The sequence below is a fragment of the Homo sapiens genome, chromosome 15 (assembly GCF_000001405.40).
Source record: "Homo sapiens chromosome 15, GRCh38.p14 Primary Assembly".
NCBI classification, from domain to species: domain Eukaryota; kingdom Metazoa; phylum Chordata; class Mammalia; order Primates; family Hominidae; genus Homo; species Homo sapiens.
In genome coordinates this window covers 86,916,454-86,931,509 of record NC_000015.10, presented here as the reverse complement: position 1 = coordinate 86,931,509, position 15,056 = coordinate 86,916,454, and the positions used below count along the sequence as shown (strand labels likewise).

The window sequence follows — 15,056 nt, the reverse complement described above, 5'->3', positions numbered from 1 at the left end:
TTATGTAGATTCCTATTGTTACCAAACTGAACTGGGGTCCACTTGCCCAGCATGGTAAGGCCAAACATTCCTACCCAGGTTTTGCAGCAGGAGAAAGGTGGGTGTTTATCTGCAAGGCGCCAAGCAAGGAGAATCAGGTACCTCACTCTGAAGACCTGACCTCTCTGATAGCTTACAAACAAGGGTTGTTAAACGTAGGGGTAAATTTCAGGGAAGCGGAAGTTACAGGCAAAATTGTAAATCAACACATGGAGGTTATCCTTTGGTTTGGCCTATAAAGGCGAAATATCTTGAAGCGAAGGGTAACATGTCATAAGTAGATTCAAAGATTTTCTGATTTGCAATTGGTTAAGGAAAGGAAGCATTGTCTAAAGACTTGGGGTCAACAGAAAAGGATGCTAGCTTTGGCTTATGAGGATGACTCCTTCCAGGCCTCCGAGGAAGAAATTTGGAGTAAAAGACGGCAGGCAGTCAGAGTCCAGTCCTCAGCTCCTCCTTATCTGAGGTCTACATGCCAGCAGATCTGTTTGGTGGGGGTCTGGGTTTCTGAAAAACAACTAAGGGATTTATGGTAAGATGTTATCTTTAGTTTCTATAGGGAATCAGACATCTCGCAACTCTAACTTCCTTGACTATTGTTTTAAGCCACTATTACCTTTTTGCTTGCCAAGTTGCTCATTTACTTTTATGTGCCTGGAATTCCCCTTGAAGAAACTCAAGATTTTCCTTTATATCTATGGTTCAGGGGCTGGCAGGCCCCTAAGAGGGATCCCTGATCTATCTCACTTTGAAAATAATTGTTGAATTATTCTGAGTATTTTCTTTTTTATCATTTTTTTCATGGACCCTTAAATCCTATAACGAACAGCTAGCACATGGCAGATAAATGTATTTTCTTTCGCTCATATGCTGAAAATAATTGTTTATTTTTAAGGGAGCTATCTACAACCAGAGAAAATATTTATTAAATAGCAGTCAAATTGAAATGATGACCTCTAAGTAAGCATCTCAGAGGTCTCCCTTGCTTATTGTTAATTACAGAATAAACAGATCTCCCGAAGCAGTGCCCCCAACAGAATGGACCTCCTCTTATCACTGGCAACTGCTATCCCGCCCCTGTCCCTCCCTGCCTCACGCTGACCCCTTATATTTATATAGTAGTGATAAATAAATTGTCACATGCATCACTTCATCCTGTTCATAGTTACCCTAAGTGGAAAGTAGGACAGGATTTTTATTTTCACTCTGGAGGGTTTTTCAGAGTTGGTGACTTGCCTGAAGTCACCCTATCAGCAGTTAACTGGAACAAGGATATAGGTCTCCTAACTCCCATTCCAGTGATATTCGTTATATTTTGTGGCATGGGAAGGAGTGAGCCATTGACGATAATATTCATCATTTATTTGTGCCCTTTTAAGTAGTATCTGGGGGAAGACAAATACCATGATTTATGGTATGTTTCCTTCGGCAAGCAAGCGTGGATTGTTGGAATGCATGATAGACAATTTACACACACCTACCTATGTGCTTACCAAAATATTAGCCAGCCAAAGGGCATTTATAAATGAGAATTGGAATAAAATTGAGGAAAGGCAGGTAGGCAACCTCCATGAAGTGGCATATTCTAGTTTACCCAGTTTAGAAATCATATTCATCTGTGAATATGTTCATCTGTGAATATGATATATAGAACTTCAGTTGGATGCCAGTGATGAATGTCAATGATCATAAAGAAAGCTATTACTGGAAGTTTTTCAGTTATAGTCAAAGCTGAAACACGCTGGCTCTCTGGAAAGCCCGGATTCCTCTGAAGATCACCAGGCTGATGGATAGTGCCATGCAGTCCTAATATTTTGAGAACTGGATGTTGAATTGTGTATCTGAAAGGAACCTCTGGGCACTGCTCTTTCATAATTTTGTGACTTGCTAGACTGGGAATCTCTTCATTCCAGAGCATTAGTATTACTTGGATGCCATTCCCTAAGATGCATCTACCTGGCCATGTAGGCAAAGGTGGTGAAAATTCACAGGTAGATTCAGGCCTCTGAGTTGATATTGGAGGGGAATGTGATCAGTTGCTGGGATTGTGAGGCGTAGCTATCCCATTTTGTGTATTGTCCAGAGGTTGAGGAAAGAGTATTAAAAAACTGTTTCCTTGATAATCATGTTGATAGTCTTTTTGTTCAGAGCCACAAAGGGCAGACCTTGAAAAGGTATCTCAACCTTCAATCTTTCCCCATTTAAAAAAGCCAGACCAGATGTCACTACTATTGCTATTTACATCAGATTCTTTCTTATTAAGAGAATGTTTCAAGACCTGACCTGAGGAGACTGAATAGTGGTAAATGAAAACCAAATAGGAAAGAATGTAAATGAATAGTGGACTGAGGAGGAGGACATGGCAGACAGTGGAAGAAACTACAAATAAACACTGCACTCCAGCCTGTCGACAGAACCAAGACTCTGTCTCAGAGAGACAGGGAGTTTGAAAAAAAGAGTTTCAGTATGGAATGATTAAAAAAAAGTTCTGGAGATAATAGTTGCAAAACAATGTGTATGACACTAAATTGTACATTTTAAATGGTTAAATGGTAAATTCAATGTTATGCATATTTTACCACAATAAAAAATAAATTATTAAAATGTGAAAAAAATTATAAATTAACACAGCTTAAATTAACATTCAGCAACCTCACATGTAAAATAAACAGGTAAAATATGAGAGACAACTTAATTACTTTCATTCATTCAAATGAAATGCTTTATTGCCAGAAACATTGTAGTTAGAAGAGATTGGGATAGAAGAGGCAGAGGGGCACATTCAAAATGACCAAAAGGATATAATTCATACACATACAGAAAACATGCATGGTACTTGGAGAAAAAGATAGATATGAGTGATAGAGCATCGTTGTTGTTAAGACTCATACGTTCTTCCACATTTGTAGAAGCTCTGCAGCACGTGATAGTGCAGTGGAAAGAGCAAACCAGCCCTAGACTCAAATAAATGCTCCAGTCCATATTAGCTCACCAGTTTCAGGAAAGGGGCTTTACATCACTGAGCCTCAAAGAAAATCGGGTTCATTGTCAGGATTGATTTGGACTCAGACGGGACCTGAAAATCTTTCTGCAGACAGGGCCTCTCTTAGGCCAGGTCCTCCCTGGTCCCTTCCACCGTGAGCTGTGTGTTCTCTGCCTTTGCTTCTCTCTGTGCCTATGCCCTGGTTGGTCCATTCTGTTCCTCTGCCCTCTCTTTGCTCTGCATCACAGATTCTGACAGCCCAAGGGCTCAGCATCCTTACTTGAGTTTGCATATTGTTCTTCATGCCATCAATTGCCTTATGACTTTTCAAAACCTTTCAATGAGCTAATTAAGTCATTATCTTGATATTCTTAGTTTAAATGGCCCATACAGGGATCTGACTGGCCTAGCTTATCCTTCCTTTTTTGTTTTATACATTTATTTCTATTTCCTCAGACATTCCTTACATAAAGTACATTTTAAGTGCAAGACTCAAACATATATACACACATGCTCACAATATACATACACACACATTTTATATATATATATGCATATATAAAACTATGAATTTGCTGTCCTTGAAGTAGCTGCTCACCTTTGGTCTAAATATTTAAAGGGAAGGGTGAGGTCAGGTAATACACAATATTGCAACCTAGGTTTGTCCTTCAATCAGTGGTTTTGAGAGGAACAACTGCCCTAGAGGTCTGTGTAGGCAAGCAGACACAATGATTGACATTTCTAGTATGCTGGCACATGGTAATTTTTTTTCAATAACTACTACTGGTCATGATTATCAATATTGGATTATATTATTGCTACTTCCTCTATTCATTATAGCCTTCTGCCTAGATCTTAGCCTAAAGTAACTTTTTAAAAATAATTTTATTTATTTATTTCAAAGATGGGGTCTTGCTCTGTCACCCAGGTTGGAGTGCAGTAGTATGATCATAGCTCACTGCAGCCTGGAACTCCTGGGCTCCAGTGATCCTCCTGCCTCAGCCTCTCAAGTAGCTAGGACTTATAGGCCTGTGCCACCACACCTGGCTATTTTTTTTTTTTGTAAAGATGGGGTCTCCCTTTATTGCCCAGGCTGGTGTCAAACTCCTGGCTTCAAGTGATCCTCCCACCTCAGCCTCCCAAAGTGCTGGGCTTCCAGGAACAAGCCACCACACCTGGCCTAAAATAACTTTCCTTATTATTTGTAAGTTGAGCTACTTTGAGGCATAAGGAACAGAGATACTCAGTTTATCCTAAATAGCATTTTACAATTATACTAAGCAGGATTCCTAGAGTGGAGATTTTATTTTATTTTATTTTATTATTTATTTATTTATTTATTTATTTTTAAGATGGAGTCTCACACTGTCGCCTGGGGTGGAGTGCAATGGCATGAACTCGGCTCACTGCAACCTCTGCCTTCTGGGTTCAAGCGATTCTCCTGCCTCAGCCTCCTGAGCAGCTAGGATTACAGGCGCCCACCACCACACCAGGCTAATGTTTTGCATTTTTAGTAGAGACGGGTTACACTATGTTGGCCAGATTAGTCTCGAACTCCTGACCATGGGATCCACCCGCCTTGGCCTCCCAAAGTGCTGGGATTACAGGCATGAGCTACCGCGCCTGGCCTGAGTGGAGATTTTATTGAGGTCAATGCAATAGTTCTAAAAGTACAACTCCTGCTCTGATGATGCATAGAAATTCTGGTGATTGCCCTGTGGTATCCAATCCTCCAGACTCTGGCTTGAATGACTTGGCAATTTTTTACCTCTATTTCTATTATTAGCACTGCTTTTGTAAAATTATTCTACATGTGTCTCAAATTCAAACTCTTCAACAAAGAAAAATCGAATTGGCTTGTTAAGTCTCCATCCAGTCTATGGCATTCCTATTAGAGCTTTCACACCAAGTCACTTCATAGATCTAAGGAATCCCTATAAATTGACTTGCTTCTTTTGGGTTGGGGGTCAAATCCATCGTGTTCAAGGTCATGATATCATTGAACACAAACAAAATGACCTATTTGTATGGAGTCTCTTAAAAGGAGGTTGTTTACATGGCAGGTATACTAAGCTATTGGAAAGTCATTGTGACTGGCTAGCACCTTGCCTGGCCTGAATGGTTCAAAGTCTCAATAAGTTTCTAGGACCAGAACGAATGGCATTCATTTTGTTCAGAAAAGATTTATGTAGTGAGGATAATGTAAGACGAAGTAAAGTCATGGAGATGGAAGTTGGCAATCCTCCACAATAACTTCTTTTCATCTGCAGCAGATAGAAAGGAGAGGATAGACAGAGGCTTACAGACCTAAAGAGAAGAAAATGACAGGGGCAAAAGGAATAGGGGAGAAACATGAAAGGAACGTGGAGGGAAAAGGTAATGGAAGGAAAGGAGAGGAGATGAAGCAGATATTGACGTTTTCCTTCTCCTATAGGTTAGTGTTCTCCTGCTTTCCCTGATCCAGACTCTCCTTTTCGCACCTATAATCCCAGCACTTTGGGAGGCTGAGGCGGGTGAATCACAAGGTCAGGAGATTGAGACCATCGTAACTAACACAGTGAAACCCCGTCTCTATTAAGAATACAGAAAATTAGCCGGGCATGGTGGCGGGCGCCTGTAGTCCCAGCTACTTGGGAGGCTAAGACAGGAGAATGGCTTGAACCTGGGAGGTGGAGGTTGCAGTGAGCCGAGATGGCGCCACTGCACTCCAGCCTGGGTGACAGAGTGAGACTCTGTCTCAAAAATAAAAAATAAAAAAAAAAAAAAAGAAAAGAAAAAGAAAAAGAAAAAAGAAAAAAAGAAAAGAAGAAAAGAAGAAAAACTCCCATCAATGAGAGGAAGCCTGTCAGCACCTATTTGGTGGACAGCTACTTTGCTTACATAAGAACAAGGCTTGAGATAGTAATATGAGCATCTGTGTAATGCATAGAAGCTCTCTACATTCTCTGAGATATAAAGGAGAGCACTGACGTTGGAACAGAAGAAAAATACTTAGGACTGGTGTTATTAATAGAAAAAGCTTCCTGATTATCAGTATCATATTTTCTTGAAGGAAACTAATGCTTCTTCTTTGCCCTATAATTACACACCATGTCTGTTAGGACAGCAGTTCTCAAAGGGTGTTCCTTGGACCAGCAGTATCAGCATGATTTATGAACTTCTAAGAGATGCAAATTATTAGACTCTACCATATACCTCCCCAATCAATCACCAGGATTGGGGCTTAGCTCTCTGTTTTAACAAGCCACCCAGGTTCAGGTTCTTCTTTCTTCTTCTTTTCTTCTTCTTTTCTTCTTTTCTTCCTCTTCCTCTTCCTCTTCCTCCTCCTCCTCCTCCTCCTCCTCTTCCTCTTCCTCTTCCTCTTCTTCTTCTTCTTCTTCTTCTTCTTGACAGAGTCTCACTCTGTCACACAGGCTGGAGTGCAGTGGTGCAGTCTCGGCTCACTGCAACCTCCACCTCCCGGGTTCAAGCGATTCTCCTTTCTCAGCCTCCCGATTAGCTGGGACTACAGGTGCCCACCACCATGCCCAGCTAAGTTTAATTTTTAAATTTTTTAATTTAATTTTTTGTATTTTTAGTAGAGACGGGGTTTCACCATGTTAGCCAGGATGGTCTCAATCTCCTGACTTTGTGATCCACCCTCCTCAGCCTCCCAAAGTGCTGGGATTACAGGTGTGAGTTACCGCACCTGATCACCCAGGTGATTTTTATGTGGCCAAAGTTTGAGAGACACAGAGTAGCAAAATGTAATGATTCTTATCGTGCACATGGAAACTATCCGCTGCCAAAAAGTGATGTCCAAGTTATGAAGGGAACCTACGAACAATCTTGTGGTACCTTCCCCACCACAATTCCCTCTCTGCTTCCCACTTCTGAAAGATTATAGGTTTCAGAGCTGTCGTCTTTCTCTCCCAAACAGAGAATAAGCTGAGAACCTGGACAAACAATATGCCTGCTGAGCACCCTCCACATTCATTATACTTTCCAGGTCATGATTAACAGAGGAATTGACATAGAGCTTTTCAATAGCTAATATTACAACTAACACGGCTGTACTTCAAAGTAATTTGCTGACTATAAACCAAATCAATGAGGTCTGGGCATCCTTGCAATAAAATTGAGCCTCAAAGCATTCTGCTAAGATTACACACCTTTCTACCCTAAATGGGATTAAAAATTCTCTATGTCCTTGCCAATAAGACCATTCATTGTACCATTAGGATCACAATGTCCTTTCAGGCAGAACTTGTGTGTGGCACTTACCAGCCAATCTATCGTGATGCAAACATTTGTGTGTATGAGCATGTGTGTATGCATCCCTGTGTGTGTGCACATGTATGTGTGCATGCATACATGTGCATCTGTGAATATGCATGAATAGACATTTTATCTAGGCTTTCCATTTAAAGATTGCTTCATAACTTAAAACTTGTGGGCAAATGAAGTAAAATAATTGACACGTATTTATGGAGACTGCTTTTGTATGTATATATGCTATGAATATTTTATTTTGATGTATTATCTAGAGTAATGGCTCCAGGAAGGTGTAATGATATCATGGCCTCATGGGAAAAGTAGAGGATTTTCGTCCAAATCACATGGCTTTAAATCTTGATTCTGTCACTTATTAGCTGTATGACATAGGGTGGGTTTTTAAACTTTGTTAATCCTCAATTAGGTAGTTCATATAATGAGGAAAATAATATTTAACATGAAGTTTTATAGGGAGCATTTTGTCAGATAATATCCATAAACAAACTGAAATTGGAAGATGCTAAATGATGAATGATATAAAAAAGACATAACCTTGCTTTCAGGGAATAGTGTACTTGCAGAGATATGACAGTCACATGTGAAGCATTGAACCACAACAAAAGAGATAAACAGCCAAATAGCCAAGCACGAAAGGATATAGTTAATTGCATAATAAATGCTTTAAGCGTTCATGGATAGAAGCACAGAGAGAGTAGGAGTTACAAAAGATACTCAGATCAGGGGTAAGCTGAGATTTGAATTGGTCCTTGAAGGGAGGGAGGAACAGCAGGAAAAGGTGAGGAGGTGATAACAGGCAGGATAAACTTAGGAGATGGGGAATAGGCCACTCTGCCTGAAAAGCTGGTCCTGGGCCCTGTGTATTGAAGACAAGCCCGGCAAGGCAGGCAGAGGTGAGCTAAATTGTAGAGGCTTTTGAATGTCAAGCTGATACATCATATGGACAACTGAAGGAGACAGTCTTTTCAATTCACTTTAATCTGCCCTAAGCCCACATAATTCAACAGATCTGTTTACCCACTCTGCCTATTTATCATGTGTTCAAAGTTATCTGGTGTAAGAGAGAGAGACAAGGGATGAGAGCGCAGATAGACACATCACCACATTAGTGATATCCAGCTTCAGCGATTGCATCCCTGCCACCACCATCCCTCGGGCCGGATACCTGGACTCCTTCTTGCTGCAGTGCCCTGGGTGGGATCATTGTGCAATTTTTGTCTCCTTATTTTTCACATGCTCTCACAGTCAGATTGAACATCTCCTCCTGGTCATCATGCCCTTCTACCACAGCTGTGATAATAAGCTGATTCATATTTCTCCTAGTTTCCTAAACCAGTCCCGTTATCTAAACCGTTGCTTCAGAACTTGAGCTTGCACTTGTAATTCTTCTCATTGGTAACTGCTCCCTAGAAATCGCTTCATTGCCTCTTTTCCACCTGGATTGTTTCATTATGAATCTTTTTATTTTGTTATGTATAATGAATGAAAAATAGTATTATGTTTATTTCTTGATCATACTTGATATTCTGTGTCATTTAGTGGTATAATTTATAGCATTTAAATTATAGCTATAATTATGAAATGTCAGTTTTCTACCTTCTGTTTAGTTTTTTAAAATGTTTCTGGGCCGGGCATGGTGGCTCACCCTGTAATTCCAACATTTTGGGAGGCCAAGGCAGGTGGATCACCTGAGGTCAGGGGTTCAAGACCAGCCTGGCCAACAGGGTGAAACCCTGTCTCTACTAAAAATACACAGAATTAGCTGGGCATGGTGGCACATGCCTGTAATCCCACCTACTTGGGAGGCTGAGAGAGGAGAATTTCTTGAACCCAGGAGGCGGAGGTTGCAGTGAGCTGAGATTGTGCCATTGCACTCCAGCCTGGGTGACAGAGCGAGACTTCATCTGAGAAAAATAACAACATGTTTCTGGATTTTGATTTTTGTTATGCCTTTTGCTATATGCAACAATGTAATTTTATTGGTGAAGTTGCTCTGTTAATACTATTACTAATAATATTAAGGCACTGCAAAATACTATTTTTGAAATCAACTTTGTTTCATATTTATTAGCCTTTTTTCTTCTAATTTATGATTATAAACTAGTTATACCTTTAAGGATATATCTTCATCCTCCTACATAAGCCAAAATAATGCAACCCAATCAATGAAAGACTGAAAAATTACGACTAAGTCCATACAGAGTAACCATTGGTTTGTTAGGTCCCTTTTTTATATAGACCTGTGCAGGAAGCAGAGTCCCAGGGACATGGAGGTGGGATATCTGTTTCATGAAGACCTCACTTTATACCTTGAACATCTCAAATGTCGTTACTAGATCAACTGCTCCTGAAGGATATATGGGAGAGCGGACAGTCTGGGGAAACGTGTGCTCTTTATAACTAAGTAAGACTCTGAGTACAAGATGGTGAAATTAGAAGAGGTGGACATGCCACAGGCGCCTTGACATTACAGCCTTGGCCACAGACAGTCTGATCCATGCATGCTGTGCTGCCTTCTACTGCATCCTATTCCTGTCCCACTAGGCAACTCCAAACCTCATCAAGAGGGAGTAGGGACTCCTCTTAGGGGCCTCCTCCTCATTCTCCCTCCCCAAGCATGGAAATAAAAGAAAATATTGAGTTTCTTCCAGGGAAATTCCAGACACCTAGCTGGCCTTGAGAAGTAAGTGAGCAACCTGATAAGCAAGAAGGTAACAGTAGCTCAAAACAATAGCCAAGGAAGCTAGAGTCATGAGATGTTTGGTTCCCTATAGAAACTAAAAATTACATCTTAACGTATGTCCCTGAGTTGTTTTTTCAGAAACTTGGACCCCGACCAAATGGATACACTGGCACGTAGACCTCAGACAAGAGGAGACTGAGGACTGAACTCTGACGGCCATTTTCTGTTCTAAATTTCTTCTTGAGGAGCCTGGAGGAAGTCCCATCCACAGGCTGGAACTCACCATTCCTTTCTGTTGACCCCCAAATCATTAAACAAAGCTTCGTCTGCTTAACCAATCACAGATGAGAAAAATCTTTGAATCCTCTTACGACCTACTTCGAAATGTCCCAACTTTTTTGGTCAAACCAATGTATAACCACCACGTATTTATTGATGACTTTGCCTATAACCTCTGCCTCCCTTCCTTTAAAGACCCTTACCTAGAAGCCGCTGGGGAGGTCAGGTCTAAGTGTGAGCTGCCCAGTTCTCCTTGCTTGGCACTCTGAAAATGAATGCCCTCCTTTCTCCAATTGCAAAACCTCAAAGTGGATGTTTTGCCTTAATGCACAGGTGAGCAGCTCCCTAATTTGTTTTGGAAACACCATGTTCACATCCCAGCTCAGGCAAAATGAAGGAAAAAAACTATGTCTAAGAGAGTACATTTTTAGATGGAGCCAAGAAATCTGGCATAAACCTGGAGCTGTACTTGTCGAGTTCAAATCACAACTCAATCCCAGGCTAGCTGTGTATACTACATCAATACTTTGGCCTCACATGTAAAATCAGAATACTGGGATGAATATACCTATGTTATAGGATTGTCATGAAGATTCATGTTATTAATGTATATAAAATGCTTAAACTGTTCCTAGCACTTGGAGAGAGCATTACATAACCCTTGATAATATTACTGTTTGTGGTAAGCAAAATTATAAAAATAAACCCAATGAAATCTGCCCTGTGTTTTCCCCTTCCCCACTTTTGATCATGGATAGAGGCCCTGACTATGATGAGATTTCACTCCTGTGATTATACTAGGTTTTAAGGCAAAGAATAGATGATCAGGGTGGGTCTAACCTAATCACACTAGCCTATTAAAAGAAGAGAGTTTTTCTGGCTAGTAGAAGTAAAAGAGATTCAAAGCATCAGGGAGGGGTGGTGGTTAAATCCACTTTGTTGGCTTTGAGATGTCACAGGCCAAGGAATGGAGGCGGACTGTAGGAGCTGAGAACAGCCCCTCTGACAGCTGGCTAGGAAATGGGGAGCTCAGTGCCTACTACCACAAGGAACTGAATTCAGACAACAGTTTGAGCTTGGAAGCAGATTCTTTCCCTGAGCTTCCAGATAGGAGTCCAGGCTGACTGACGCTTGGGTTTCAGTTTCGAGGCCTCTTGAACAGAGAACCCACGGAGGTTCCCTGTGCTTCTGACTTACTCACCCTAAGACAGTAAATAGATAATGTTCGACAGCACTAAATTGGTGGTAATTTGTTTCCCAGCAATGTAAAACTGAGGTACAGGTACTGATATCCCTCCCCCATGAGCCTGCCCTTTACTCCTGAGGCCCATGGCAGAGTGGGCCAGGCAGCCCCTGCCTACTCCTTCTCCCTTGTCCCATTTCAGCCCCACTGGGACTCCAGACACTGTGAGTGCTTTACAGGCTGGACACATCCTGCCACACCATCTTTCTCATATCATCTGGCACAAGGTATTACAACACCAATTATAAAACATCGTGAGAGAGCTTGCCGCAGTCGCTTCTATTTATAATCTTCCTCTTACCACAAAAACTGCTCTCTGCAACAGGCACCAAATTAGTGTCCTTGAAGGCTCTGGTTTTTTCTTCATTCATATAAGAGTTTTTCCTTAGGTAGTCGGGTGTGTGTGTGTGTGTGTGTGTGTGTGTGTGTGTGTGTGTCTCAACAGGGAGTGGGCAACTAAGCAGCTAGTCATTGATGAGCCCTAGAGATTTCAGTGTCAATTCATTCTCCCTTGCTGGGCTCTGTTTTTCCTTACCTTAATTAATGTCATGTGTTTCTGGTCTTTTCATCTTGTAGCCACTAAAGATGAGAAAAAAGCAAAACAAAAAACAACAACAAAAAAACTATTCAGAAAAAGAGAAGCATGGCTCAGGTAAGGCTGTCTTTCGGGAATATCACTGACTTATGTCAGACTACAGGAAAATCTATTTCAACAGAGACAGGAAAAGGTAGAGGACCAAGGTGTGTTTCTCCTGTTGCTCTTTGCTAAGCGGTCTTGTTGAAGGGGCCACTCACTTATAGCATTAATTTTTAGGTTGAAGTCAAGTGAAGTTGAGGAACAGTAACAGTTTAGGATTTAAAGAGTATAGATCCTTTCCTAATAAAGTAAACTGAGTATCACTTGAAACTAGCTGATATTGATGTGGTGCATTATAGATCTCTGAGCGTAAGTCTGCAAGGTATCCCTAGCATTACTATGCCACAGCCTTCAAAGTAGTACTCTGAAAAAAATAGAGTCACCAGGGGAACACATGATATTGTTCAGAACACGCACGGACATGACAGACAGAGACCCAGAAGAATCATTTCCTGAACCAGAGCAGACACCTTAAGGGAAATCCTGCTGATCCCAATCCAGACCCGATTTTGTTGGGGACATATTTCTCTATGATGTTTACTTAACCACTGTTTGAAATTCATGTTGTTCATCTTTAAAAATGTTGCTCTGAACATTTGCTAGGGGAAGCTTATAGTGTGCTTCACGTATTTCCCATACACATCATCAACTACCACCATCAGCCCATGGTAAGATTTCTGTAAAAGGTCACACAGCATTTTTGTCTGGAAATGTGGAGAAGGAAGCTGAGCAAAATTTAAATTAATAGGTACGTGGGGGAGAAAACAGGCCTTGACTAAGTCTGAAAATAAGACTCGGAAAATTACAGATCCATTTCCTTTTTTTTTTTATTTTTTGAGACTGGGTCTCCCTTTGTGGCCCAGGCTGGAGTGCAGCGGCATGATACGGATCCATTTCTAATTGAATTTGAAGAAGAAAGTGTGAAGGCAAGTTTGCCTCAAGGGAAAAATGAAGGGAGGAGATGTCCACTGCCACTAGGAACATTTCCTTTTCCGAGGTGTTACACCATGGGGAGAATGGGAAGAGGATGCAAGCTCAGTTCAAACCCAAATGCAGCCTCTCCACTAACCACTCACTTTGCCCAAGCTGCTAACTATCTCCCAGACTTTGTTTCTTTGTCTGTAAAATGGGTATCATAATAGTTATTTACCTCAAAGGGGTTTTGTGAATAGTAAACATTCAGCCCAAGGTCTGGTTCATGTTTATGGTAAGTTGATTATTATCATTACCATCATATTCATGAACTGCCCAAATAAATGGAATCTGTAATTTCCTAGAAATGAACTTTGCAAATTTCTTGCTTCTGCTGAATTCTCTTTGGTGGCTTCCCCCATGTTTTCATCCAAAATGAACAACTGAACCTTTCATCTATGCAAAATATAATGAGAACCCAGCTGCTTGGGAGTAATGGACTTTTACTAGAGATTTGAGGGACTAGGGATGGAGTGAAATGAGATCCCACAGAACAGAGAACAACTTAAAATTCAATCCTGGACATCACTTTTTTATGAGTCAGGACTTCTCTGAGGCCCTCTTTGCTCCCCTGCCTTGAGCCATGCTGGGAAGTCCTCATCCTCTCTCTTCTCTCTCTCTCCTTCTCTCCCAGTGCACACCCCTGGCCCCACTCCCCGAATCTTTGGTACCATCTAATGCACAGCAGAGCAGCTTTTCATCCCTCACCCCGACATTTGCATATCCCCAAATTCAAGAAACCGCCTCACTAAAGGAAGTCTCCAACTGCTTTGAATCTCTACGCTTCGCAATGACAAGGCCTGGAACAAGGTTGTAGAGGTGATCCGCATATGTTTACTTGCCCTGTGGCTGCTGCTAGGTCACTGCTGTCTGTCTCCTTGCATGTTGCATGTAACTGTACAGTGGCCGGAACATTCAGTGTGCTCAGTAATAATGAGCTCCCTTTCCCTAACCCTCTTGCACACATCCTCCCCTAAATGACCAGATTTGAAAGTCATTTTGATTGAAATCCTGAGTGTGTGCAAAGAGCCTAGGAGGAAGCTGGGCCCCAAATGCTGAGAGACAAGGTCGATGAGGGCAGTTGGCCCAGGCCCAGGCAGAGGCCAGGGACAGGAGAGGGACTGTGAAAGAACTCTCTCTGAACAACCAACAAAGAGTCAGTGAGGAGTGGGTGGACCAACTGCACAGTGGGGAGGAAACGAGCCTGAGAGAGCAGCCACGCCTCTCCCCCATCTTCTCTATCTTCTCCCAGGGTGGCATCAAACTCCCCCTTCCAACAGCACTTTAAACACCAGTGCAGCACCTAGCAGGCCAAACCATGTGGATGAAAACAAATTAGATTCTTCCCTGCCCCACCCCAGCTGAAGTTTGCTGACTCAATTCATTCCCCCTCCTTTAGGTCTTCCTGTTTATGTTGTCATTTTGTTTTATTATTTATTTTTAGCCCTGATTTCGGAAGCTTTTATTCTGCTGGGCATTGGCAGGATATCAACGGCACTGCTCTGCTCTGTGCTCTGAATAGATCATTGTGCAGGCCTGGCCTCGGTCCCTGCAGAGACAGAACGCTAGTGTGAGCCACCTCACGCTGCCTCTTCACCGGCCTGGCCAGCCCCGGGCCTGCTGGTGTTCTCTGCAGGCCCCGCCAGCACAGCATTCATGTTCATGAATATTAGAAATAGAAGTGAGGTTAGATTTCGTGTGGTCCAGCCCTTCACCCTCCAATGGAGAAACTGAGACCCAGAGGAAAGGGTCAGCCCAAAGCCATATATTGAAGTAACCGAGCCAGAGCCTAAACCTTGGACTCTCAACTTCTGTTATAATGTTCTATTCCATATGCTACGGAATCACTTAAAGAACAAAACCATCATTTCCTAAATTACACAATAGGTGAAGACCAGAGTGCCTGATCCATTTTTATTATTTACATATTTTTTCTGGACTCTGGATG

General features: G+C 41.8%; 1 protein-coding gene across 2 annotated transcripts in view; it reads right to left on the bottom strand.

Moving 5' to 3' along the window:
* AGBL1 (AGBL carboxypeptidase 1) overlaps positions 1-15,056 on the bottom strand; it is a 951,857-nt gene that overhangs the window by 99,967 nt on the left and 836,834 nt on the right. The window lies entirely within an intron of this gene.